Source organism: Homo sapiens, chromosome 8 (genome assembly GCF_000001405.40).
Source record: "Homo sapiens chromosome 8, GRCh38.p14 Primary Assembly".
NCBI classification, from domain to species: domain Eukaryota; kingdom Metazoa; phylum Chordata; class Mammalia; order Primates; family Hominidae; genus Homo; species Homo sapiens.
In genome coordinates, this window is record NC_000008.11 from 7,517,055 (window position 1) to 7,543,014 (window position 25,960).

Consider the following 25,960-nt stretch of genomic DNA (forward strand, 5'->3'; position numbering starts at 1 on the left):
GATTGAGGAGTAGAAAAGGAACCTACATTCCTCATCCTTGGTGTGAATTTCCACGCTCCCCACCGGCCAACTGTGGCAATTCACATTGTAGTTCTGACAATAAATGGCCCGTTCTGACTGGGCTGGTGGGGGTCCTGGTCCAGCCACCTCCAGCCAGGGGTCCCTGGGTCGTGAAGGCGCCACGACCTGCTCCACTCAAGATGTGCAGCTCCACCCACTCACGCTAGAGAGGAAGAAGAACTTCTGCCATAAACTTTTGTTGTTATTGTTTTGTTTGGTTTGGTTTGAGACGGGGTCTCGTTCTGTTGCTCCGCCTGGAGTGCAGTGGCCCCATCACGGCTCACTGCAGCCTCGACCTCCTGGGCTCGAGTGATTCTCATGCTTCAGCCTCTGGAGGAGCTGGGGCCACAGGCACCCACCACCACACCTGGCTAAGTTTTTGTATTTTTGTAGAAACAAGGTCTCGCTCTGTTGCCCAGGCTCGTCTCAAACTCCGCCCACCTCAGCCTCCCAAAGTGCTGGGATTCCAGGTGCGAGCCACCGCACCCAGCCTCCTAAACTGTTTTTAATTTGTGCAGAATGAACCGGGTCATCAACCACTGTAAGTGGTCTGACTACCCTGACCATAAAATGTCGGAAACACTCAACTTGCAACTGGTGGAAGCAGCCTAGCCCCACTGCACGTAAAACACTCGCGTTGTGGCAAACGCGGAGACCAAGGCTGCACTGGCCGGAAGTGGGGACAGATCCCGATACGCCCTGGGGACAGAGCAGGGATGCTGAGGCCTGGTCCACACTGGCTCTGCCCTCTTTCTGGCCCACTACCCCATCCTGAGACCGCAGGTTCCGGCGGACCCGGATGCAGGTTTTCCGGATGAAAGGCCCCTTTCCTGGAGTGGACTTTGATATTTTCTGTTCACAACTCCGTGTCACCATCCTCCACACCTAGGATCTGGCGTCTGGTGTCACTGCCGACGTCACAATCCCCGCACCTACGTGTCTCAGCCGCAGTAGCCCTACGTCGCTGTCAGACACTGGGAGGTTGGTGCCCCGCCATGCTTTTGTGTCTTTTGTCTTTTCACCCTCTCCCCTCCCCACCCAGTGCCCCGTCTAAGTCCCCACTCGGAAGTGGATTCTCACCCCTCGCGGCCCTTTGTGGGCAAAGCCAGGAGGAGGAAGGCCACAACCTCCCGCTGGCTTTGGGATTTCTTAGACATCAGTAGTCTTCTAAGGCCCTCCACCCTGCCCGCACCCCTCCTTCATCCTCGCGTCTCTTGGGACACTGCCCTGCTGCCCTCAGGCCTTTCCTTAGTCACAGACTCGGGGAGGCCCCTGAACCCCCTCGGCTTGGACATCACCGGCCACAGTCCTGTGACGCCCTGTGATCTTCTGTCCCAGATCTCATTCCACTGGCTGTGCCTGTCAGGGTGTGCTTAGATTTTGGAGTCCCAGTGTAAGGCGTGCTCTTATTGGGAAGGGGGCTTCTTCATTCTCTTCTTGTGAATGTAGATGTGAAGCCAGGGCATAAGGAGAAAAAGAGAGGCCAAAAGAGAACCAGAGAGCCAGGGAGCTAGGGAGAGTGAGGTTGAAAAAGAAGGTAACGTTGAGTATTGGGAAGCTGTCTCTGATGGATTTTGAAAAGCAGTGATAGTGAAAGAGTTCTAGAAGCTTTGTAGAAGGTGTTGAAAAAAATAGTGAAAGTTACGTGGGCAAGAAATAGTGGGATAGATGACACAGACAAAGAGAATCAGGAGAGAGGTGGAGGACAGAATAGAAAGGGGATTCTGACCAACCACAGCAGAGGAGTAAAGGAAAGAGATCCCCAATTCATTAGGGTTTTTTTTAAAAAGTCTTAATAATATTCTCTTTTGTTTCAGATTCAGATGATGAGGCCTCTTTAGATTTTTAGTCTTTATTATATTTTGGAAATATCTTTTAGTACTTAGTATTTTACACTATTTCAATGTGCTCTTGGAAAGGGTATTGGTTTTTTTATATTAACAGTCAAAACCTAGTTTAATCAGTAAGTCTATTCTTCTACTGTCTCCATTATTTCCTTACATGGCCTTTTAACTGGGTCTGTAAAATACAATTTTCAGGGAAGTGTATGTTCCCTTGACCTCTCTCTGCAAATTTTCAAGGATGGGCTGAAGTGATCAGGAATTTTGTTCTAGCAGAGCCATTCTGTTCATGATTACTAAATTGCTCAGAGCTAGTTCAAGCCAATAAGTAGGTATCCTTAATTTCATATTTTTGATAATTCAATGAGTTGTTCTGGAAAAAAAGGAATTAAATGCTTGAAATCAGATTATTGTGATTAAAACCATGAGAAAGAAGTTGCTCTTGCTCCAGAGCATGAAATATGGTATAGAATCTTTAGGGCAAAGAGAAGGAAAAACCCTATCACAATTCGTCACAGCACATCATTCTTGTGAAGCTAGTGGTGGTTACTCTCTACTGGCATCTCCTACTGACCTTGCCTGCCCCAAGACCCAAGTACAGAATGACAAGGCAGCTTGATGAGGGGAGAGTCAAGACTTTTTAAACTAACTACAGAACAAAATTATCTCTCCAAGTAGGAGGGGACACTTGGTGCTATAAATGAATATAAATGACATGAGAATGACATGAGAATGAAAACTGTCAATATAATAAATAGTTTGCAAAAGCTCTAACTTAAAACACACAGGACTTTCAGAGTAGAGAATTCCTAGCTCTGTAAAGAATTTGGGACTCCATTTGAGAGAAGCCTTGGTCTCTACTCACTGTGAACCAACATTCAGCCAGGTACCACCGTTGGTATGTTACCAAAAAAACTCAGTAAAAAATGCTTTCTTAAGAAGGAAATAGGAAAGGAAAGTCTTTACAAGGGCAACTGATCATCTTGTGGATTACCAAATACTGCAGATTTCAGGTCAGAAAACGGAGTCATGGAGAATAAAAAGAAAAAACTAACACACAATTGAGCAAATAATTCATAATTTAGAGAATGTATCTACTCATTAAAAATGTGAAGTGTAAATGTATAACAGTTATGTGACCTGGGAATTTTGAATACAAAATTATGTAAGCAACTTTATTATTTTTTAATAGAAAAATACTTGCAAATATTGAAACAATAAAACCTGTTGCTGAAAAATCTAATATGTTGTTAAAGTTCTAGTTTTATTTATGCAGGTCTGACACATAGATTTGCATAAGCTATCCTTAGCATGTGAGTAGAGATTTCATCCTTCTCTTCCCGTTTCCCCATCATCAACAGCTTTTTTTTCTTCCCACAGCCAAACTCCCTTCATTCCAACTTCCACCAAAACCACTTCTCTGGATCCATCCCTGGAGTTGACACAACAGGGATCTTCAGCCCCAGGTGCCAGGTTTCTCAGTGATCCATTACACAGATTTAACAGGGAAATGGGGGCAGTATCAAAAACACCCAGTATAAACCATTGAATTACCCCAGCCCTTGTCTCTGCCCATGAACAACTGCCTGGGGCCAGAGAATTAGGCATCCCTGCTCTTCTTTCCCTCAGAAAGCCCTTGAGACGTTCTCCTTGAAGCTCCCCTAGGTGGGAGTAGAAGTTCATCTCCTGACACTCCACGTTTTATTCATGAGTCCTGAGTTATGACACAGAGGACACAGTTGTGCTCCCCTTACTATGGACTAGCAGATAAAGCACCTTAACCACTCAGCCACCATGCAAACCCTTCTTATATTTGATTCAATATACTTTTCCGCAAGCAAAATAAAAGTTCTGACCAAGGAGGCGTCGTCTGATTTGACTCTAGAACTTGGAAATGCATTGGCTTTTAGCAAATCTCAGTACTGAATGTAAACTTCAAGGAGAAATGGTTCCAGGAAATAAATTGGGATGACATTGAACTTTTAGCAAACTGCAAAATCCTGAAACCATGGACTTACTGAGGCCAATTAAATGGGCTAATTCATGGGTGGAAGTGGTACATCCTAAAAATTCTCCACAAGTGATTCTACACTGAAGCCAGGGTTTTTGTCAAGTACTGTGTGAGGATGAGGATGGCCATCTGCTTGGCAAGCCATCTGGTCCAGGCAGGGCTCACATTATTGTTCACAGTTTAACCTATTTAATTAAATAGTAATTTTCCCCCAAATCTTATATGACATAAGCTGTAGTCCTGAGCCACATTAAGATGTACTATTTATGCAGTAAAATTGTATGGGATTTGACAAATGCATAGCAGCAGTTTTCCAGCATTAAAGTATCACAGAACCCTTCTCTTATTCAAGCTCCTCTTCCGTCCACATACAGGGAATCAATCGCCTTTTGTATATGGTCCTTGGACGTTGCTTCTTTATTTCAGTTATCTTCCATCAAAGCAAATGATACCGTGCTCTATTTTCATTTGATCCTCCAAAAGAAAGGTACTGAATAATCTAAACCAGAATTTCAGCCATTCAGAGACTTAGGTCCATCGCTAAGCGGTAGAAGCCAAGCCTCTTGCGCTGCAACCCCATGGCCGGCAGAGGGCGAGGGAACACGCCGTCCCGCCCTCCGGGGCGCATGCGCTTTCTGCCTGCGGAGGCGGGGCTGGGTCTCCAGGAAGTACGTGAGTTTCCTTTCCTCTGGTCAGGGAGGAGGCGCCGCCCTGGCTTTGGGGCAACTAAGGCGATGTCCATCAGGAGGAAAACTTCCTGTCCGCAGCCCTAACTGCTGAGAAGGGAGATTCGCTGCAGAGTATCCCGGATATTTTTCTGAAACAGCCATAAAGACTTCATTTTCAGGGCTGTTGCCACGTGTTTTATTCTGTATTTTCTGTTGGGATACTTTAGCATTATTTTACAAATGTATAAATTTGGGGTTAGGGAGGGCTTTCTGATAGATAATAGAAGCAGGCTGTAACATGTCCTCCCTGTGACCTCATTGAGGATTGATTGTGAGGAGAAACAAGAAGAATTGTGAGGAAAATCTACAGAATACGGGGACCCTGCAGAGGAAGGGGTCGGGTCAGGGCAGGGCCACACAATTTCAGTGCAGCCCGTGGGAAAGGGGCCCTTGCAGGGAAACCCGCGCTCTGCCTCCGTGCATTTCCACATTGTGAGGGGCTCATCTTTCCTACAGTGCTAAAGTCACTGAAAAATAGACAATGAAAGAGAGGGACATTAATTCAACATTCAGTTGTTGACGATAAAGCATTCAGAACCACATCTTTCTCTTCATCACAGCACTGCAGATGTAAAAAATGGTTTTAATTTCAAAGGCAAGGGGAAGAGGTACACTTGTGAACAAGTTTGGACCCCAAATGAAAATATATTGCTTAAATATTTCTTCAAAAATAAGTCATTATTCTGTGTTGCAGGATATATCCTGAGATTTTTAAGCTATAACTTTATTAATTTATTGGTTAAAACACATTTTGTTTATAGCCAAAGCGATTATAAAGGTAGAATATTTGGCAAGTCCCTCATATTTTTCTTCTTCTACTAGGTTTTCAGCTAGAATTGACACACACAAACTCACAATGAGGGGCCTCTTTCTTGACCATAAAATATGCATACTCCAGAACCCTCAGTGTAAGCTGTTTCTTGAATATCTTAACCTGATCCCCACAACCAGAGAGAATGTAGAGAAGTAACCCGTTTTTTTTTTTTTAAACACAGTCTCGCACTGTCACCAGGCTGGAGTGCAATGTCGTGATCTTCGCTCACTGCAACCTCCGCCTCCCGGGTTCAAGCTATTCTCCTGTCTCAGCCTCCCGAGTAGCTGGGATTACAGGTGCCCGCCACCACACCCAGCTAATTTTTTGTATTTTTAGTTGAGATGGGGTTTCACTATGTTGGCCAGGCTGGTCTCAAATTTCTGACCTCCTGATCCGCCTGCCTCGGCCTCCCAAAGTGCTGGGATTATAGGCATGAGCCACCGTGCCCGGCCAAGTAACCCAACTTTAAAACTACATCTGGTTGGGCACCATGACTCATGCCGGTAATCCCAACATTTTGTGAGGCGGACATGGGCAGATCACTTGAGGTCAGGAGTTTGAGACCAGCCTGGCCAACATGGTGGAACCCCGTCTCTAACCAAAATACAAAAAGTAGCCGGGCATGGTGGTGCACACCTCTAATCCCAGCTACTCGAGAGGCTGAGACAGGAGAATCGCTTGAACCTGGGAGGCAGAGGTTGTAGTGAGCCAGACTGCACCACCTCACTCCAGCCTGGGCAACAGAACACAACTCCGTCTGAAAAACAAACAAACAAACTACATCTGATCTTCAGCAAAGTATCTGCTGTTCTGCTCAGAAAAGACCGAAATCCACAAAGCAGACAGACCTCTGAATAAAGACACTAAGGTCCGCCGTGGGCGCTTTTAAGAAGTTAGCAGGGCCTGTACTTCACCTAATAAGACTGAGGAGGATATCAGCTAAATGGAAAGAATCTACAAACAAATTTATACAATTTCTAGGGAGAGAATGACATCCTGAGCTCAAGGGCCTGTTAGTGACGGCACATTCAGTAATGGTGCAGCCTCACAGAATTTCCATTTAGTTCAATTTTGGTATTTACTGGTCATCTTTTCTCCCCATTACCATCCAACCTTTTTTATGTTGTCAAATAATTTTTAATCATAAAATGATTAACTCTGAGTTTGGGCATTTGGTGTCTGGCCTCCTGATGGAAGTTTAGGTGACTTTGTCCATGGAAATCATGGATTTTTAATTAATAAGTAATGTTGAAAGGGAAACTTGCATTATAATTCTGAAACCATTCCAGTGGGGGATACAGGCAAGAAATAAGCCAACAGACAGATTAGCACATAGTGATATATTAGAAATTAAGTAAAGGTCCTTTTGGTATTTTTCCCAGCTCATCTTATGATATGAGCCTATTATGTTTGGATAACTTTCCCCAGGAGATTCATTTTAAAAGTTCTTTCACTTAAAATACATATTATTTTATTATTTAAAAATACTGTCACCAGAAGCGGTGGCTCACGTCTGTAATCCCAGCACTTTGGGAGGCCGAGGTAGATGGATCACTTGAGGTCAGGAGTTTGAGACCAGCCTGGCCAGCACGGTGAAACCCCGTCTCTACTAAAAATACAAAAATTAGACAAGCGTGGTGGCACATGCCTGTAATCACAGCTACTCGGTACTCTGAGGCAGGAAAATCACTTGAACCCAGCGGGTGGAGCTTGCAGTGAGCCGAGATCGTACTACTGCATTCCTGCCTGGGAGACAGAGTGAGACTCCATCTCAAAAAAAAAAAAATACTGTCAGCCCTCCACATCCATGGGTTCCAGCTCCATGGATTCAACTAAACTTGAATAGAAAATATTCAGAAAATATTTACACAATTTCCACCCCCCGACAAAAAAAAATTTGAATTTTCCCTTCACCAAATTCTTTGTTGAGAACACGTAAGTAATGTAAGGTCTGGGCATTGTATTAGGTATTATAAGTAATCTAGAGATAATTTAAGCTATATGAATTAATATGAGTAAGTTACATCTAAATTCTCTACCACTTTATACAAGGAAGTGGAGCATCCACAAATATTGTTACCTTCAAAGTTTCCTAGAACCAATCCTTTATGTTTACCCAGAAATGATTATGCACATGAAACTTACAGAAAATAATTGTCTTTCCTAATTAATGAATAGTATACAATAGAATGTAAATAGCACTATTTTAAAATGCTGATATTTTATATCACATTTCTATGGTGAATCAGAGTAGAGGTTACATTAGACTGATTTTGATTAGATTAGGCTAATTCTAACAGGGGCACACCCATATCACTTGAGTTTTGATAAAAGCACTCCCATGCAGGTCCTACTACTTAATCAGCAGCACTAGCCAATCGTGTTCATCCATTTTGATAAATCCCACAGCTCTCTCTATTATAAAACTTTTGGGATTTGCCCAAGATTTCATTCTACCATAGCGTCATTCAACCTGTCCCAGGCCAGGGCACACTATTCCATGTTCTGGATGTGCCGAGCTGATCATCTTCTTCAGGAAAAGTAAAAGATCAAGTCATAGACTGTATAGATTTATAAGAAAATAAGATGAAGATTGAAATTTTCTGATACAAGTGAGTCTAGAGAACCTTTACCATGTATGGTTACTGGCGCCAAAGAAGCCTTAGTGATTCCTGGACAGAATCGCAGAATGACAATGAAGGAGAGAGCAGGTATGTTAGTGTGTGTTTACCTTGGGTTGCCAGGAGGTTGCCATGTGACTATGTGTGACTGTGTGCATTTGTGTGTGTGTGTGGTGTGAATGTGTGATAAAGGGTCAAACTAGGGCAGAGAAAGCACCCTGGCCTGCCATGACATTGAACGTTATAAATTTAGAACACCTGCCGGAGACATGAGACCCACAGTGGAGGCCATAGGATCCTGCCAGCATGGGGGGTTTCTGGACCTGTCAGGGGGCTCATCTCAGGTTTCCTCCCACTGTCGATCTATGTTCCCTCTCTAAATGAAAGTCACCTCTTGTGCGGAGACAGGTAAACTGTGGGCATGATCTAAATTTCTTCCCTGTGCTCATTAGAAAATGAAACATTTCCCATCATCTCTCACTCCATTCACACTGTAACTGCACAGACACGGTGCTCAGATACCTGAAATAACAACGTCTTCCCTGAAAATCCTCAGACCAAATTAGATGTCCCTTCTCAGATGGATGAGCTCCTGAGAAAGCAAACTGTTTCCTGTGGTCACCATCCCTTATCACACACATTCACCGATAGGAAAAGCCATTAGAAAAGTTGAGGAGGGGAGATGAGCATTAGGACTTACTGGATGCAGGTAGGATTTGGAGCCCAACACAAGTGCACTTGACTGAGGGACACAGAAAGAATGTGTGCTGGATGATAAATGGAGTTTTGGGCTTGTGAGAATTAGACTCTGTGTGGAAGACTAACGGATCCCTTTCTGTCCTGCAGCTTGGCTACCACGCAAATGAATCCACCCAAACGTCACCAAGTGGAGCAGGGTACCAGTATAGGTAAGGCAATTTCCCTGATATTTCTTAAGATCTCCCTGCCTGGAGGTCAGTGTCATGTCTCACAATCTTATAAAAGGAGAGGGTGCTTTCTGCAGGATGAGTGGAAAGTCATGCTTGATTGATGGGGGCTGGTGTCCTGAGGCTGGCCTGTGCTGGGTTGTGGATTTCTGAAGGTCATATTCTGAAATCCAAGAGACTCTTGCTGGAAGAGCCTTAACCTCCCTCACTGTGATCTCTCTGCAGGTGCAAAAACACCCTCAATTCCAGGAGCTCCACACTGAATTCAGGCCAGTCCCTGGAACCTCCCCAGGTAAGTTATTATGTCATTGCATGGCAAAGATTGCAAAACACCCTCAATTCCAGGAGCTCCACACCAGAATTCATGCCCGTCCCAGAAACCTCCCCAGGTAAGTTCGTATGTCCTTGTATGGCAAAGATTGGACAGTGCTGCACACTCTTCAGGCTCAAGAGACATCCAGTGGATGTACATTTAGGTGGGTCAGCACGAGAGTCAATTCTGGGAGGGAGTGTATTTTAAACTTGTAGAGGGTGAAGCTCCTGGCAACTCCCTCCGCATCAGCATCATTTGCAGCCTTTTTGGAGAATACTGACGGCCATCTTTTCACGGGAGCAGCAGGATTCCAGCAATGAGGAGCTCATCATAGTCCTAGAACAAGGGACAGAAGTGAGGTTGAGCCTGGAAGAGGTCATCCTCATCTTGGCCCCAGAGACAGCGCTGCAGCTGACCGTGGAGAACACAGTCCTTGTGATTGTTCCTGGCATATCCTGAGGTCACAAGATGGCCTGCAGTCCCCTGTGCAGATCCAGTACATCATGCCTTCCATTGATGACTTCAGCTTGGAGTGCCATGCTCAAGATGGAGACATCTCAGACATGAAAGGAGAGAATGTGCCTCTTTCACCTGCAGAAGAAGGGGAGGCAGCACCCCTATATCACCAGCCCTTGATGATATCCCCAGCAAACCACAAAGCTGGGATCAGCCCTTTTCTTCTAGTAACCCCATTGTGCATTCCATGCTGTCTGGCAGCCTTCCCCCAACGCTACCCTCTACCACCCACATCTAGTCCCATGGGACGCCCTAGACCAGCCAACTCCAGTTTCAGCCTGCATGGTATGGAGCTACTGTGCACCTCCTCCCTCAGCCGTATGCCCCCTTCACCAACTCCTGGTCCCCAGATCTATCACAGGGTTCACCATAGGCCTCCCAGCAGGGCACAGAGATGTCTCTTTAGGAAGTGATTTAACCAAGAGTCACCCCCTGCATTGATAGGTCAGAGATTGTCCAAGTCCTTAGTCAGTGCATTCCCTGAAATGTGGAGAGAAAGTAATTCCAAGGACCGCTTGCTTCCCCTTTGCTGTTTCCCATCAACACCCACTGTCTTCAACAGCAGAGGGCTCCAGATGCTGCAGGGAGGGGGAGAACCGCAGGGAGTTCAAATAAAACATTCACATTTCACTTCACACACAATGTCCCTTAGACTTTCTCTTCCTATTTAACCACATACATCCAACCACACTCAATCGAATCCCTGACTGCTCCATGTGAGAGTTCTGCTTCCAGCATGATGTGGCCTGAAAATTCATCTGAAGACAGCTGCTCACTCCCAGGGCTAACACCGCCCCTTGCATGCTGATGTCCTTGTAGTCATTGGTCTGATGCCACAATAAATAATTCCTAAGGCTGGTGCTCTATTTCTGCCCTGAGACTCTCCCCTTTTTCTCCAAGCTGTGCCCCATTCCTTGTTTTAGTCCAGGTTCCCTACACTCCCCAGGCCAATGCTTTTGAATAAATCTTGACGTCATTGAATGAAGTAGTGGTGACTGCTGTGCTTGCTTCCAACTGAGACAGTCTCCTGCTCTCACTCATCACGTTTCCATTCACACTTGCCTTTGTTTAGTTTTGTTTTCCATTGTTTGGGTTTATTATTCACGTGCTTATGAAATAACTGCCACATTTCTGACAGTTTTTTTGGCCAATTTGGGGCTTTTCCTGTGCTCCTCCTTCCAAGTCCTGAGTGGGGTCACTGTTTGCACCTCTGGGCCCTGGGATGGGTCTGGCTTAGCAAGTGATTGAACAGAGCTTGGCTCTGTGTGTTCGGATGGGCACCTGCGCTTGTTCACAGCTGCTCCCAGGCTCTCCCTGTCCTGCCTGGGTGTCCCTGTGTCTCTGGAGTGTCTAGGAAATCTAGCAGTCCCCTTGAGGGCCCAGCACCTCTTTGTTGGCCTGCATGTCCCAGCCTGTGCATCCATGGCCAGCTAGAGCCACCACCACCTTTTCCTAGTCAACCTGGGTCCTGGAGGCAGGGGAGATGCGGGGATAATGTCCTGGCCTCCCTGAGCCCAACCCCAGTAGGTGGGGAGTGCTCATGACCCCGGGGGGAGTACAGGGCGTTTGCCCTTGACTTGCCTGACCCTCTAAAACCTCACATGTTCCCTGGAGGTGGGTGCAGCTTTCTCCTACTCTGGCCTTGCTGGCCTGGGAAGAGTGTCCTTGGTCCCCCGAGCCCTCACAGCGTTTTCTCTTCTACTGAGGTTTCAGGAACTGCCTTTCCCCTCTGGGAAGGAGGACAGGCACCTTTTCAGGTTTGATTCTCCTCAGAGTTTTGTATCTCGGCTGGGGCGGAAGCAGCCTTCGTCCACATGAGAGGCCCAGCCAGGGCGTCCTCACCAGCCCGGGCCTCCGGGGAGGTTTTGAGTCTGGGCGCTGGAGAGGCCCCTTCCTCTGCGAGAGCGAAGATGGCCGCCCCAGTGCAGGGGGCGCCTTTCTGCGCCCTTAGGGCGTCAGGATCCCCCTACGGACGGGAAGTCCCATTGGGCGTCTTTGGCCCCGCCCTCCCAGAGCCCTGCTGATGCGGAGGTGGCGCGGGGGCCCTGGACTCTGTCATGAGAGGTGGCAGCAGAGGCCAGGCAGGGCCCGGGCTCCGGGTCAAGGGAGTGTCTGGCCTGGGTGGGACTGGGTCCCATCCAGAAACTGGGATTCTAGGGTTCTGGTGCGGGTGGATCCGGGGCAGGCTCAGGACCAAGTCCCTCTTCTTCCACCTCAAGGACTCACCCAGGGGCTGGCGGGAGCTCCAGGCTCAGCAGCTGCTCCTCCTCCTCCTCCTCCTCCTCCTCCTTCTCCTCCTCCTCCTCCTCCACTCCTCCCCTCCCCTTCCCTTCCCCCTCCTCTCGCCTTTCCCCTCCCCCTTCTCCTCCTCCTTCTCCAGGTGTTTTCTCTTCTTTTATTTCTGTGAGTTGAGAAATGGCGCCGTCCTTCACATCGGTGTATTTCTACCCTAATCCCCAGTACCTTGTTGAGTAAAGCAGTCAAACTCTGCAATATATTGAAGAGCCCTCAGGAGGTCCTCAGAACATGTGCCCAAGGTAGTAAGGGTGCAGCTTCGTTTACTTCGGGCCAATTGGTCTCCATAGGTATAACATCCTGACGAGGGTATAAATCAAGTGCAACAAATGCCTGGTGTTCTATATCTAAATTGTTACAGGATTTGTTAACAGTAGACACACCTATTTTTCACACCACTTGTATTGCACTATATACTGGTATGTGTTTGGGAGAGAAAACAATGTTCTTTAAAGGAGAAGTCATATGATTCTATACTTTCATTTTGTTGTCCTTTCCCACAGAAATGGCCCTTTCCCATATAACAAATGTTATGTGCTATGGGAGTGGATATTAGGGGCTAAGTTGGGGAAAATTAGGGTTCTAAGTGGACTGAGGGCATAACCATTCCCCTTTTCTGTTTTCACAATCTGAAAAGGAGATGGGACGCCATGTGTTATCATGAGCTGAAATAGTCCACCTATTTCCCCAGGGGAGTATTTCTGTATTGTTTACAATGCCTGCCAGTTGAACCACAGAATACCTTTGAGCCTCATTTAACTTTGGTGCCTATGCTCTGAGAATACCATGTTTGAGGTCACATTTACCATCCGAAATTTTCCATATGTTTGGGGGGCCGTGTATTTTCCACAGGTGTTTGGATTGTGCCTCGGCACAGATGAGTATAGGCCATTGCTTCATAGCCACCTTAGATTGTGTTTGTAATGAAATAGACATGAGCCCCTGTTGGGTTACAGAACATGCTCATTGCCACCTTCGGGTTTGAGAGTATGTTTTTATGTTTTGTTTGGTTTCTCCTATCCATTTGATGAGTGTTGCATTATTTTTTAAAGGAGCTTCCCATCCTTTTCCATCTTCCTGGAATAACATTCCTTCTATGTGGGCTATTTTTGACAGAAAACTTTTCTCTAAGAGATGCCTCTCCTCGTTAGCTATGAACTCAGCTTACACCAATATACCTAGGCCAGCTCCAACTTTTCCAGTGAGGTCAAGTTTTAATTTCTGGGTGGCGAATTTTGCTGGATTCATCAGGATTGCTGTTGCCATTGTATACTAATGGCATTAGCACAATTTGAAACTATATGTGCAATTTATACTTGGGAGTATTGTACCAAGAGGCTTTGTCATAAGGCATCTTTATCCTATCAGTAAATATTTTCTTTTAAATCTATGAGAAGCAGAAAATTGTTTATGGTTGGGGTGGATGCAAAAGTGACACACTATAGTCTAGAAGGAAATGTCCCTTGTTTTGCCGGCTGTACCATCTTTGTACCCCTCCTTGATTTGGAGAGTTTGACATGGACCTAAGTTCATGCCTCAAAACTAGCTCTTACAATCTCATGTGCCTGCCTCTTCCAAGACAGTCCCTGAGCCTAGAGAGAGGGTGCTTGTATAGTTTTAGCAGCAGAAGATTCGCGGTGAAATACAGATCTGAACCCAGTGGGATGTCAGCTGAGGGGGATTCATATCTCTAGTCTTCAGAATACCGTAATTTTGGTTTCCTTGGAAGTAAAACAAGGAGAGGTAAATAACATTTATAGTTTCACAATCAAAAGATTATTTGTGTGTCAGAATGGAAAAAGGAACCTACTTCATTAGGGAACCAGCTAAAAATATGGAGATAAATTATGATCTGGTACTCTCTAGAGGATTATTATAGCAAAGAAATAATGATTTAATCTGCACTTAAAAAGAGTTAGGACTGAAATCTAGTACTAATCCTTAAGCTTTTCCTTTTAAACAATTGTTCTATCTGCATTTTTTTTAGAGATTATAGTAAGACCAGTTTGTGTGCCAAGTAAGTTTTAGTCTTATCATGGTTGGCCGGATTATTTGCTTAAAATGCAGCAAGAATTGATTGGCCACATAGACTCATTTTAAGTTGGCTTTGCTGGCACCTTACCTAAAAATATACCACTTTAGTTCAAGTCTCTAATTGTTTTAAAGACTCTTATTGAAACTTATGCAAACAACCATATTGTCATAAAATTAGGATCTGAATTTTGGAGAACTCAGAAAGATAATTTGCTTACAAAAACAAACTTCATCAAAATGAATTAAAGAAAAAGATTGTCTGGACCCTCCTTTAACAAGAGCAGTGGCTTTCACACAAGATGTTTGTTTATCATCTTGGAAATGTCATGCACAAGCCAAACCGCTCCTGAGAGCTGTCTATCAGGCACTATGCAATCTAGCAGCTCCTCACAGAGTTAGAATTAGTCCTAGGAATGAGGCTGCCTGCTTATTAGTATCTCCTCCTTATATCCCCATGTAGCAAGATTCTATGTAAACCATTTTTATTTTATCACGAAACTCTTTTGGGGCAACATTATTTCCACTATCATAGAAGTTGGTTCAGTTAGCATTCCATAGTAAGGTACTAAATGTCCCTGAGCTAGAAATTCCCTTGTTCTATCTTTGTCATCAGGAAGAACTCACAGTTTTTTTTTTTTTTTGCCATCAGCCCCAATAAATGTTACACAAAGGGCTATGAAGTGCAGGATTTGTCCCGACTAGCACTCCAGCTTCTACCCTATACTTTGTGGGCTTAGGCAGTCTTACTAGTTCCCATTTGGCATGTCCAATTAACATTTCTCAAAAGAGCAGATTTATATGCCTTCAGTTTTATACTACTAGAAAGGGGAAACCTCTCCCAGGTAGTAAAGGAGGTTACAACTACCTTACATAAAACCTGTTTAAACATTTTAAATTTCATAACTCTATTAACCTGTATGTTTATATGTTCTGGTCCCAGAATTTTTTTTTAATACCCCCAAATCATTTTACCTTTTCTATTGAAAAAGGGTTTGGTTTCTCAGCAGGGAGTTGCATCTATAAGACCTCTAAGGGGCAGCAAATTTGATACGACTCCTCAAACACTCTCATGATTTTGTGGGAGGAGCATCCATGTAAAAGGGGCCCTCTTAGCACCCAAATTTAACATAACCTGGGTAACAGACAGTTTGGTGGGAGCATATCCCAGTCATTATTAAGCCAGTCCAACATGGTTCACATAAGAAGCATATTAACTGCTCCATCTGGGGTGTTTCACTTGGTATTTTATTGGGAGAGTTAGGTAGTCCCCTACTCAGAGAAAACAGACTTTATGGTGGCATTTTCTGGGTATATTATGCTGATTATTCTCTTAGGAATAACCTCCTGGGTATTTGGATCACATGTTAGTGGTTGTTCAATAGTGAACTGTGGGTCCTGCATTAACCCAAACAAGCTCTTAAATCGTGTAACATTTAAAATTAAGAATCTTGTCCTTAAAGTGTTTTTTCTCAATCCATCATAGTAAGGATTTTTTAAAGAAGCTGATGATACTAAACTACAAAATGGAACAATTCTTTACAGTATACCCTCTGGTTCTAAATAGTTAGTTTTGCTCTTCCCCCACATTGATTGACTATCATTTTGGTAGCCACGGGTCTCAGAGTTAACTTTTGTTGCCCTAGCTTAATTACTCTTTTTATTTAGTTATATCCGTATAATTTTTCCTTTCATTTTAAAGCAACTCTTAAATAGTTTTCTAGCTAGAGGAAAAATATATTTTCTTTTTTAAGCAAAGTCAACATTTTTATGCTTTATAAAATTCACCAAAAACAAATTTTATGCTCTTGCTATTTTAACTTTCAGCAATCCAAATTTCCAGTGAAAAATAACCTAACCTGAGATTTTAACATGACTTGAAGCTTTTAAATTACTGGAGAGTTTTGAGATGGAATTTACCACATTAATTTTACCAAAGATTCTTAAGGTTATGAAAATTAAAAGGGCATTTGAGATAGCTTGTACCAGTCTAACAAGCAGCTACATTTCTTTAAGAAAAGTTACTTGTCTAGAGCTCTTTCATGTAGTTTGGGAGTTAAATACCACTTCCACATGACACATATAAAGATAGAGATATAACACTCATGCGGAATAAAAAGGCAGGTCCAAAGGATATTTCATTTGACTGTTTTTTTAAAAAAATTCCCTTTCTTACTTTAGATAATTAATAAAAGTTACAGGAGCCAACAAAAGGTGAAGGAGAGAGCTATCATCCATGGCCCTTTCAAAGAGGAAGAGCTGAAGTTTTGACCTATTTTATCTGAAGAATTTCAAAGAGACAGATTCTAGAATTTAAAATTTAATAACTTTTTGCATTAGTAATAAGTTAATATTTTTAATAAAAATCTTGTTTTAACCAATTATTTCAGTTTTACATTAGTGTATATTTTTAAATATCGAAGATCCATCCCTAGAAAGACTATTATAATTCCTTTTTAATGGTAGCCAACTGAATTATACAACCCCTTTAAAAAAATATATTTTTACTAATCCTGTTATGACTTACATAGACCACTCAAAACATGTTTAGACTTTCTGTTTTTTCCTAAATATTCCTCTTTCTTGAATGACCCAGTCATTTTATTCTAGGGCAAAAATTTACTACACAAGATTCTTTCTGATATAAAATTATTTTCCTTTATCCCTTCTCTATAAAAAGGTACCACTTTAAATTTTTTTACATTTCTTTTTTTCTGGTTCTTTTTATACATAACATTTAAGTAGGCTGTCAGTTACACAAAGATATTTACATTTTAATAAGAACACTTAAAAATTTTTTATAATTTTTAAGTTTTGAATTACCTGTATACTCAATATTTATGAATAACCTTAGATCCTAAATTATATGACAAGTTTGTTTACGAGCATTTATTCCATCACATTTTCCTGATTACATTATTCAATAGTTTACCTAGATTATTGACCAAAACTGTAACAGTCCTTCTGTAAGTTATTTCCCTGTTACCCTTTTTTATAGCTGTGCATTTTAGGTGTTTACTTACATAGGAAACCTAAAGTTAAATATAAGAGTATTTTTACAAATAATTTAGGATTTCATTAAAAGAATATTCCATGTCTTTCTTGTCTAAAATTACACAAGCAAAGATCATTTTGTCTTGGTCTGGCTTTCATAATTTTATAACCCTTATGGTTAATCTTATATTATTCTGCAGGATTAAGCATGGAATTACTTGATCAATAAACACAAAACAAAAATGCTAACAATTTTTACGACATTTCTAATTTTACTTTACCCATAATTTTAAAGCCAGCTCATTTATTAAATATTTTAAGTCAAGTGACCTTAAAAAGCATTTGTGTAGTCTTTTATTTGATTAAGTATCTGATTTATGTGCTTTTATTTTTAAAGCCAATTAGAGCTCTTGTATATATTTTTAATAGTGAAACATTGTGTACACAACACATAAATACATAGATGTATTAGGCATGCCAATAGATGTACATCTTATAGATTCATAAGATCCTATTTTTTCCTGTCTTAGGTTTTCAAATTCTTGATAACCTGTTTGACTACCTTAGGTAGCTGTCAGCTAAATAGCCTTACTCTGCATATCAAAGGAAACAATTCATAGGTGAAAATCAGATAGGAAACTTACATCTGAGGAACACAGCGAAATAGTCTGTTGTGCTAGACAGAAATTAAAATGGATGTAACTGCTACATAACATAAAATTATAGAAATCATAAAAGCCTTTTAAATATATACATGCACATATTTGCACAGAAAAGAAAATCCTGTAGCTTTTGGTTGAGAACTTTAGGAATGATATGAAACTGGCTTGAAAAACGAACAAACAGACAAACAAAACCCTGTTATATCCAAACAGTGGCTTTTATCTCAGTCATAATGTAACAGCTGATATAAAGCAGGCAGAAAAGAAAAGAGAGAAAAAGAGACCTTAGGAAATCTATAACTTGCAGGTCGACCTTAGGGCTTTTTTTTTTTTTTTTTTTTTTTTTAAATGTGCACAAAGACCACGTTACTTCCATTTTACATAAAGTCTGGCTAGTAGAGTTGTCGTAAAATCTAAGAAGTGCTTGAAAGTGGGTCATTCTCCTTGTTTTCTCCTAAGTTTTAGATTTTTTTCTCACCTTTTTTTTAAGGAGGAATTGAGCTGTGGAATAGAGCTTTTGTGGAGTGGGTCAAAGGGTGCTGCTTGTAGGCAGGACTCCAGAGTGTGTCACCACTGTGTCACTCCTGCCCTCTTACATGTCTCAATTTTTCTCTCCAGAGGTCTAAGCAGCTCCTCAAGTTTTTTAAGAGAACAATACTTGCAAATATTGAAACAATATAGCCTGTTCCTGAAAAATGTAATATGTTGTACAAGATCTAGTTTTACTGATGCTGCTCTAACACTTAGAATTCCTTCTGCACTCTTTGGCATGTGGGCAGAAATTCCACCCCTTTCTTCGAGTCCCTGCCTTCTTCAAGAGTTTTTTATTTTTGCCGCACAGCCCATGTCCCCTAATTCTAACTTCCAACAAAAATATTTGTCTCCATCCATCCCTGGAGTTGTCAAAACAGGGATCTTCATGCCGGGTTTCTCAATGAGCCATTACACAGATTTAGCAGGGAAATGGGAGTAATATCAAAGACACCTTGTATAAACCATTGGATGACCCCAGCCCTCGTCTCTGCCCATGAACAGCTCCCGGGGCAGAGAGTCAGGCAGCCCTGCTCTTGTATCCCTCAGAAAACTCTTGAGATTTTGTTCCTAAAGCCTCCCAAAGAGGGAAAAGGAATTCATCTCATGACATCCCACTTTTCATTCAAGTGAGTAATTGCGTTATGACACAGAGAAGGACACAGCATTGCTCCCCTTACTATAGCCTAGCAGATAAAGCACCAGCAAACTAAAACACCCTAACTTCTCAGTCACCATGCAAGCCCTTTTATATCAAATGCAATGGACTTTTCCACAAGCAAAATGAATCTTCTGACCAGCAGGCATCCTCTGCTTTGACTCGGGCTTGGATACATATTGTGCTTCAACAAATCTCAGTACTGAATCTAAATATCAAGGAGAAGTGGTCCCAGGAAATATACTGAGAGGACTTTGAGCTTTTACCAAACTGCACAATCCCAAAATCATAGACTTTACTGAGGCCAATTAAATTGGCTAATTCATGGGTGAAAGTGAAACATCATAATGTTTACAAATCTGCCCAACTGTTTTTACGTTAAAGCCAGGGTTTATGTCAATTCCTGTGTGAGGATGAGGAGACATCAATTCAAGCCCATGACAATCTGGAAGGACAGGCAGAGACTGTGTCCAGGCAGGCCTCACATTGTTTATACTTTGACCTATTTAATTAAATATGTAATGTTCTCCAAATTTTAGATGTCATTTGCTGTAATCCTGACCCACTAAGATGTACTATTTGTGCTGTAAAATTGTATTGTATTTGACAAATGCATAGTGGCAGATCTCTGGCATTAAAGCATCACACAGAATGTTTCTCTTATTCGAGCTCCTCTTTCCTCCACATACAGGGAATCAACAGACTATTTTATACGGTCTTTGGACTTTGCTTCTTTATTTCCACCCTCTTTCATAAAAAAAAAAGAAAAAGAAAAAAGATACCGTGCTCCATTTGCATTTGATCTTCCAAAAGGAAGGTACTGATAAAACCGGAATTTCAGCGATACAGACGCAGGTCAACCGCTAAACAGTGAAGGCCAAGAGTCCCGCGCTGCAAGCCCATAGCCGGCAGAGGGCAATGGAACTCGCTTTCTGGTCGTGCGGGGCGCATGCGCATTCTGCTTGCGGAAGCGGGGCCAGATCGCCAAGGAAGAAGGGAACTTCCCTTCCTCAGGCCAGGGAGGAGGAGGCGCCGCCCTGGCTTTGGGGCAAATGGGGCTGCATCCATCTTAAGGAAAACGCTGCTGTTCACAGCCCTACCTGATGAGGAGTGAGATTCCCTGCGCGTCTCCCGGATATTTTTCTGAAACAGCACTAAAGACTTAATGTTCTGGGCTGTTCCTACGTGTTTTCTTCTGCACTGTCTGTTGGGATATATTAGCAAGAATTATTTTACAAATCTACGTATTCCTTAGGGATTTTCATTGATAACCATAGCAGGCCGTAATGTGCCTTCCTCGCAACCTCTGTCAGGATTCATTATGAGGAGAAACACAAGAAGAATTGTGAGGAAAATCTACAGAATACGGGGACCCTGCAGAGGAAGGAGTATGTGGCCGGGGCACGGCGGCGCACTGTCGCGCAGCTCGCGAGAAAGGGGCCCCTGCAGGGAAACCCCGCACTCTGCATCCCTGCATTTCCACATTGTGAGGGGCTCATCTTTCCTACAGTGCCAAATTCACTGAAAAATAGTGAGACAATGAAAGGGAGGGGCACTAATGCATCCTTTAATTGTTGCTATTAAAACGGCAAGAGCCACGTCTTTAATTTTACCCTAGCACTGCAGATTTAAAAGTGATTTTCATTACACATGCAAGGGGAAAGCTACACTTTTGTGAAAAATAGTTTCTACCCCAAATGAAAACATATTGCTTAAATATTTCTTCAAAAATAAGTTATTATTCTGTGCTGCAGGATATATCCTGAGACATTTATGCTGCAAATTTATTAATTTATCTATTAAAACATTTGGTTTATAATCAAAGCGATTATAAAGGTAGAATATGTATTTGGCACGTCCCTCATATTTTTATTCTTGTACTGGTTTGCAGTCCATAGGTTTTCAGCTAGACGTGACACACAGAAACTCACCATGAGGAGCCTTTCTCTTTCTTGACTGTAAAATATACATACTCCAGAATCATCAATAGAGGCTATTTCTTGAATATCTCAACCTGAACCCCGCAGCCAGAAAGAATGTAGGCAATTAATCCAATTTTATAACTGCAGCTGATATTCAGCTAATTACCTGCTGTTCTCCTCAGAAATTATCAAAATCCCCAAAGCAGAGAGTTCTCTGGATAAAGGCACTAATGTTCCCCTTGGAGGCTTTTAAGACATTGGCAAAATTAAAGGAATCTTCCTGTTTTCCTTTTATTCATCTAAATGATTTATCTAACTGGAGAAGAAAGCTTCAGTGCAAAAGGCATCTGCTAATTAGATTCAATTTTTTTTTAACATTTAAGGGAAACAGGGTCTATACTTCACCTAATAAAACTGATGAAATTATCAGCTAAATGCAAAGAGAATCCACAAACAAATTTATACAAGTTCTAGAGAGAGGATGAAGCCCTGAGCTCAGGGGCCTGTTAGAGATGGCACGCTCAGTAATGGTGCACCCTCACAGATTTTCCTTCTAGTTCAGTTCTAGTGATTACTGGATTACTGTTTTCCCCCAATACCATCTATTATTCTTTATACTGTCAAATAATTTTTAATCTTAAAATGACTAATTCTGAGTTCAGGCATATGGTGTCTGGCCACCTGCAAGAAGTTTAGGTGACTTTGCCAATAAGAATGATGGATTTGTAATTAATAAGTAATGTTGAAAGCAAAACTTGCATTACAATTCTGAAATTAGTCCAGCGGGGATACAGGCAAGAAATAAATTAACAGACAGATTAATACACAATGATATATTAGAAATTAAGTAAAGGTTCTTTTTGTATTTTCCCCAGCTTGTCTTATAGTATTCGCTTCTTCTGTTTGGATAACTTTCCCCAGGAGATTCATTTTAAAACTTAATTCACTTAAAATAACGTATTTTTTTTTATTTAAAAATACTGTCAGCCCTCCACATCCATAGGTTCCATATTCATGGATCCAACTAATCTTGAATAGAAAATATTCACAAAAGATTTGCACAAGTTTCTTCAAAGAAACTTTAAATTTTCCATGCATCACATTCTTTTTGAGTTCACATAAATGACGTGACGTCTGGGCATTGCATTAAGTATTGTAAGTAATCTAGAGATCATTTAAATTATATAAATTAATGTGATTATGTTATATTCAAATTCTACGCCGTTTTATACAAGGGACTTGAGTATATACAAATTGTGGCATATTTAAAGTTTCCTAGACCCAATCCTTTATGTTTACTAAGAAACGACGTACACATGAACTTTACAGAAAATAACTGTCCTACCAAATTAATGAACAGACTACAATAGAAAGTAAATATTGCTAGTTTAAAATACTGTTATTTTATGTCACAATTATATGGTGAATCAGAGTAGAGATCTTGAATTAATTTTGATTGAATTAGGCTAATTCTGACTGGGTCACACTCATATTGACTGAGTTTTGATAAAACCACTCCCATGCTGGCCCTTCATGTTGTTTAATCAGCACCACTAGCCAATCACATTCATCCATTTTGACAAATCCCATGGCTCCACCTCTTATAAGACCCTTGGAGGATTTCCCCAAGAGCTCACTCTACCAAAGCACCATTTGACCGGTCCCAGGCCAGGACACACTCTTCCATGCTCTGGCTGTGCTGTGCTAGAGGCTGATAATTTTTCTCCAGGTAGAGTAAAAGATCAAGGCACGAACTATATAGATTTACAGAAAATAGGCCAAAGATTGAGATTTTTTTGACACAAGCAAGTCCAGAGAACTTTTACCATGTATGGTTACCGGCGCTTAAGAAGCCCCAGAGATTCCCAGACAGAACCGCAGAATGACAATGAAGGAGAGACCAGGTATGTTGGAGTATGTGGCTACTTTGGGTTGCCAGGAGGTTGACATGTGACTGTGTGTGACTGTATGTGTGTGTGTGTGTGTGAATGTATGCTAAAGGGCCAAACTAGGGCAGAGAAGACACCCTGGCCTGCCATGACATTGAATGTTATAAATTTAGAACACATTGGGGAGACATGAGACCCACAGTGGAGGCCACAGGATGCAGCCAGCATGGGGGGTTTCTGCAGCCTGTCAGGGGGCTCATCTCATGTTTCTTCCCATTGTTAATCTCTGTCCTCTGGGTAAACAGAAGTTGCCTCTTGTGTGGAGACAGGTAAACTGTGGGCATGATCTAAATTTTTTCCTTGTGCTCACTAGAAAATGGAACATTTCATGTCATTTATCACTCCATTCACACTGTAACTGCATAGACACAGGGGTTAGATACCCGGAAAATCAGCATCTTCTCCTAAAGTCCTCGGGCCAAATTTGATGTCCCTCCTTCTCATGTGGATGAGCTCCTGAAAAAGCAAACTGTTTCCTGTGATCGCCATGTCTTATCACACACATGCACCGATAGGAAAAGCCTCTAGAAAAGGAGAGGGTGGGATATGAGTGTTAGGACTTTCTGGATGCAGGTAGGATTTGGAGCTGAACACAAGTGCATGTGATTTTGGGCCACAGCAGCAATGTGTGCCGGATGACTAATGAAGTTTGGGGCTTGTGAGAATTGGACTTTGTGTCACTATGTGGAAGATTGATGGGTCCCTTTCTGTCCTGCAGTTTGGCTACCACACAAATGAATCCACCCAAACGTCGCCAAGTGGAGCAGGGTCCCAGTACAGGTAAGGCACTTTCCCTAATATTTTTTAAGATTCCCATGCCTGGAAGTCAGTGTCATGTCTCATGATACCATAAATGGAGAGGGTGCTTTCTGCAGGGTGAGTGGAAAGTCGTGCTTGACTGTTGGGGGCTGGTGTCCTGAGGCTGGCCAGTGCTGGGTGGTGGATTTCTGAAGGTCACATTCTGAAATGCAAGAGACTCTTGCTGGAAGAGAGCCTTAACCTCCCTCACTGTGGTCTCTCTGCAGGTGCAAAAAAACCCTCAATTTCAGGAGCTCCACACCTGAATTCATACCAGTCCCTGGAACTTCCCCAGGTAAGTTCCTGTGTCCTTGCATAGCAAAGATTGGATAGTGCTGCACAATCTTCAGGTTCAAGGGACATCCAGTGGATGTATATTTAGGTGGATTGGCATGAGCACCAATTCTGGGAGGGAGTTTGTATTTTAAAGTTGTAAAGGGTGAAGCTCCTGGCATCTCCCTCCCCATGAGCATCATTTGCAGCCTTTTTGGAGGGCAGAATACTGAGGACTGTCTTTCCACAGAATCAGCAGGATTCTGGCACTGAGGAGCTCATGATAGTCCTGGAACAAGGGACAGAAGTGAGGTTGAGCCTGGAAGAGGTCATCCTCATCTTGGCCCCAGAGACAGTGCTGCAGCTGACCCTGGAGAACACAGTCCTTGTGATTGTCCCTGAGCATGTCCTGAGGTCAGAAGATGGCCTGCAGTCCCCTGTGCAGATCCAGTACATCATACCTTCCGTTGATGACTTCAGCTTGGAGTTCCATGCTCAAGATGGAGACATCTCAGACATGAGAAGAGAGAATGTGCCTTTTTCACCTGCAGAAGAAGGGAAGGCAGCACCCCTGTATCAGCAGCCCTTGATGATACCCCAAGCAAACCACATGGCTGGGATCAGCCCTTCTTTCCTAGTAACCCCATTGTGCATTCCACGCTGTCGGGCAGCCTTCCCCCAATGCTACCCTCTACCACCCACACCTAGTCCTGTGGGACGCCCTAGACCAGCCGACTCCAGTTTCAGCCTGCATGGTATGGAGCTCTTGTGCACCTCCTCCCTCAGACCTATGCCCCCTTCACCAAGTCCTGGTCCCCAGGTCTATCACAGGGTTCACCATAGGCCTCCCAGCAGGGCACGGAGATGTCTCTTTAGGAAGTGATTTAACCCAAGAGCCACCCCCTGCATTGATAGGTCAGAGATTGTCCAGATCCTTAGTCAGTGCATTCTCTGAAATGTGGAGAGAAAGTAATTTGACCACTTGCTTGCCCTTTGCTGTTCCCCATCATCAACCACTGTCTTCAACAGCGGAGGGTCCCAGATGCTGCAGGGAGGGGGAGAACTGCAGGGAGTTCAAATAAAACATTCACATTTCACTTCACACACACTGTCCCTTAGACTTTCTCTTCCTATTTAAGCACATACATCCAACCACACTCAATCAAATCCCTGACTGCTCCATGTGAGAGTTCTGCTTCCAGCATGACGTGGTCTGAAAGTTCATCTGAAGACAGCTGCTCACTCCCGGGGGCTAACACCGCCCCTTGCATGCTGATGTCCTTGTAGTCATTGGTCTGATGCCACAATAAATAATTCCTAAGGCTGATGCTCTATTTCTGCCCTGAGACTCTCCCCTTTTTCTCCAAGCTGTGCCCCATTCCTTGTCTTAGTCCAGGTTCCCTACACTCCCCAGGCCAATGCTTTTGAATAAATCTTGACGTCATTGAATGAAGTAGTGGTGACTGCTGTGCTTGCTTCCAACTGAGACACTCTCCTGCTCTCACTCATCACGTTTCCATTCACATTTGCCTTTGTTTAGTTTTGTTTTCCATTGTTTGGGTTTATTATTCATGTACTTATGAAATAACTGCCACATTTCTGACAGTTTTTTTGGCCAATTTGGGGCTTTTCCTGTGCTCCTCCTTCCAAGTCCTGAGTGGGGTCACTGTTTGCACCTCTGGGCCCTGGGATGGGTCTGGCTTAGCAAATGGTTGAACAGAGCTTAGCTCTGTGTGTTGGGACGGGCACCTGCACTTGCTCACAGCTGCTTCCAGGCTCTCCCTGTCCTGCCTGGACGTCTCTGTGTCTCTGGAGTGTCTAGGAAGTCTAGAAGTTCTCTTGAGGGCCCAGCACCTCTTTGTTGGCCTGCATGTCCCAGCCTGTATGTCCATGGCCAGCTAGAGCTACCACTAGCTTTTCCTGGCCAACCTGGGAGCTCAGGCCTGAGTCCTGGAGGCAGGGGAGATGCAGGGATAATGTCCTGGCCTTCTGGAGCCCAACTCCAGTAGGTGGGGAG

The 25,960-nt window shown here is 43.0% G+C and overlaps 1 protein-coding gene, 1 long non-coding RNA gene and 1 pseudogene across 3 annotated transcripts, besides 2 other annotated features; all 3 read left to right on the top strand.

Annotated features, from left to right (window-relative positions):
* Window positions 565–1,442: an enhancer, noted in NCBI's record as "H3K4me1 hESC enhancer chr8:7375141-7376018 (GRCh37/hg19 assembly coordinates)". NCBI's record gives its function as "activates a minimal SCP1, AML or CMV promoter by ChIP-STARR-seq in naive H9 embryonic stem cells {active_cell/tissue: H9 hESC(naive)}" and the evidence as "EXISTENCE:reporter gene assay evidence [ECO:0000049][PMID:30033119]".
* LOC105377801 (uncharacterized) lies at window positions 3,280–3,761 on the top strand. Its single transcript, XR_941389.2, has 2 exons — window positions 3,280–3,367; window positions 3,531–3,761. It is a non-coding gene; the product is annotated as an uncharacterized LOC105377801 (long non-coding RNA).
* Window positions 3,762–8,143: 4,382 nt separating this feature from the next.
* Window positions 8,144–11,782, top strand: LOC101927997 (proline-rich protein 23D1-like; annotated as a pseudogene).
* Window positions 11,827–12,366: an enhancer, noted in NCBI's record as "H3K27ac-H3K4me1 hESC enhancer chr8:7386403-7386942 (GRCh37/hg19 assembly coordinates)". NCBI's record gives its function as "activates a minimal SCP1, AML or CMV promoter by ChIP-STARR-seq in primed H9 embryonic stem cells {active_cell/tissue: H9 hESC(primed)}" and the evidence as "EXISTENCE:reporter gene assay evidence [ECO:0000049][PMID:30033119]".
* Window positions 19,625–25,396, top strand: PRR23D1 (proline rich 23 domain containing 1). Of its 2 annotated transcripts, XM_011534716.4 has the most exons (5): window positions 19,625–20,487; window positions 22,653–22,827; window positions 23,591–23,652; window positions 23,898–23,965; window positions 24,194–25,396. In XM_011534716.4, exons 2-5 carry the CDS (start codon window positions 22,751–22,753, stop codon window positions 24,824–24,826), a joined length of 840 nt encoding a protein of 279 aa, XP_011533018.1. In that variant the 5' UTR covers window positions 19,625–20,487; window positions 22,653–22,750; the 3' UTR covers window positions 24,827–25,396. The 2 variants fall into 2 exon arrangements, with proteins under 2 accessions (XP_011533018.1, NP_001269408.1); NM_001282479.1 differs by lacking the exon at window positions 19,625–20,487 and having other exon boundaries at window positions 22,573–22,827.
* The last annotated feature ends 564 nt before the right edge of the window (window positions 25,397–25,960 follow it).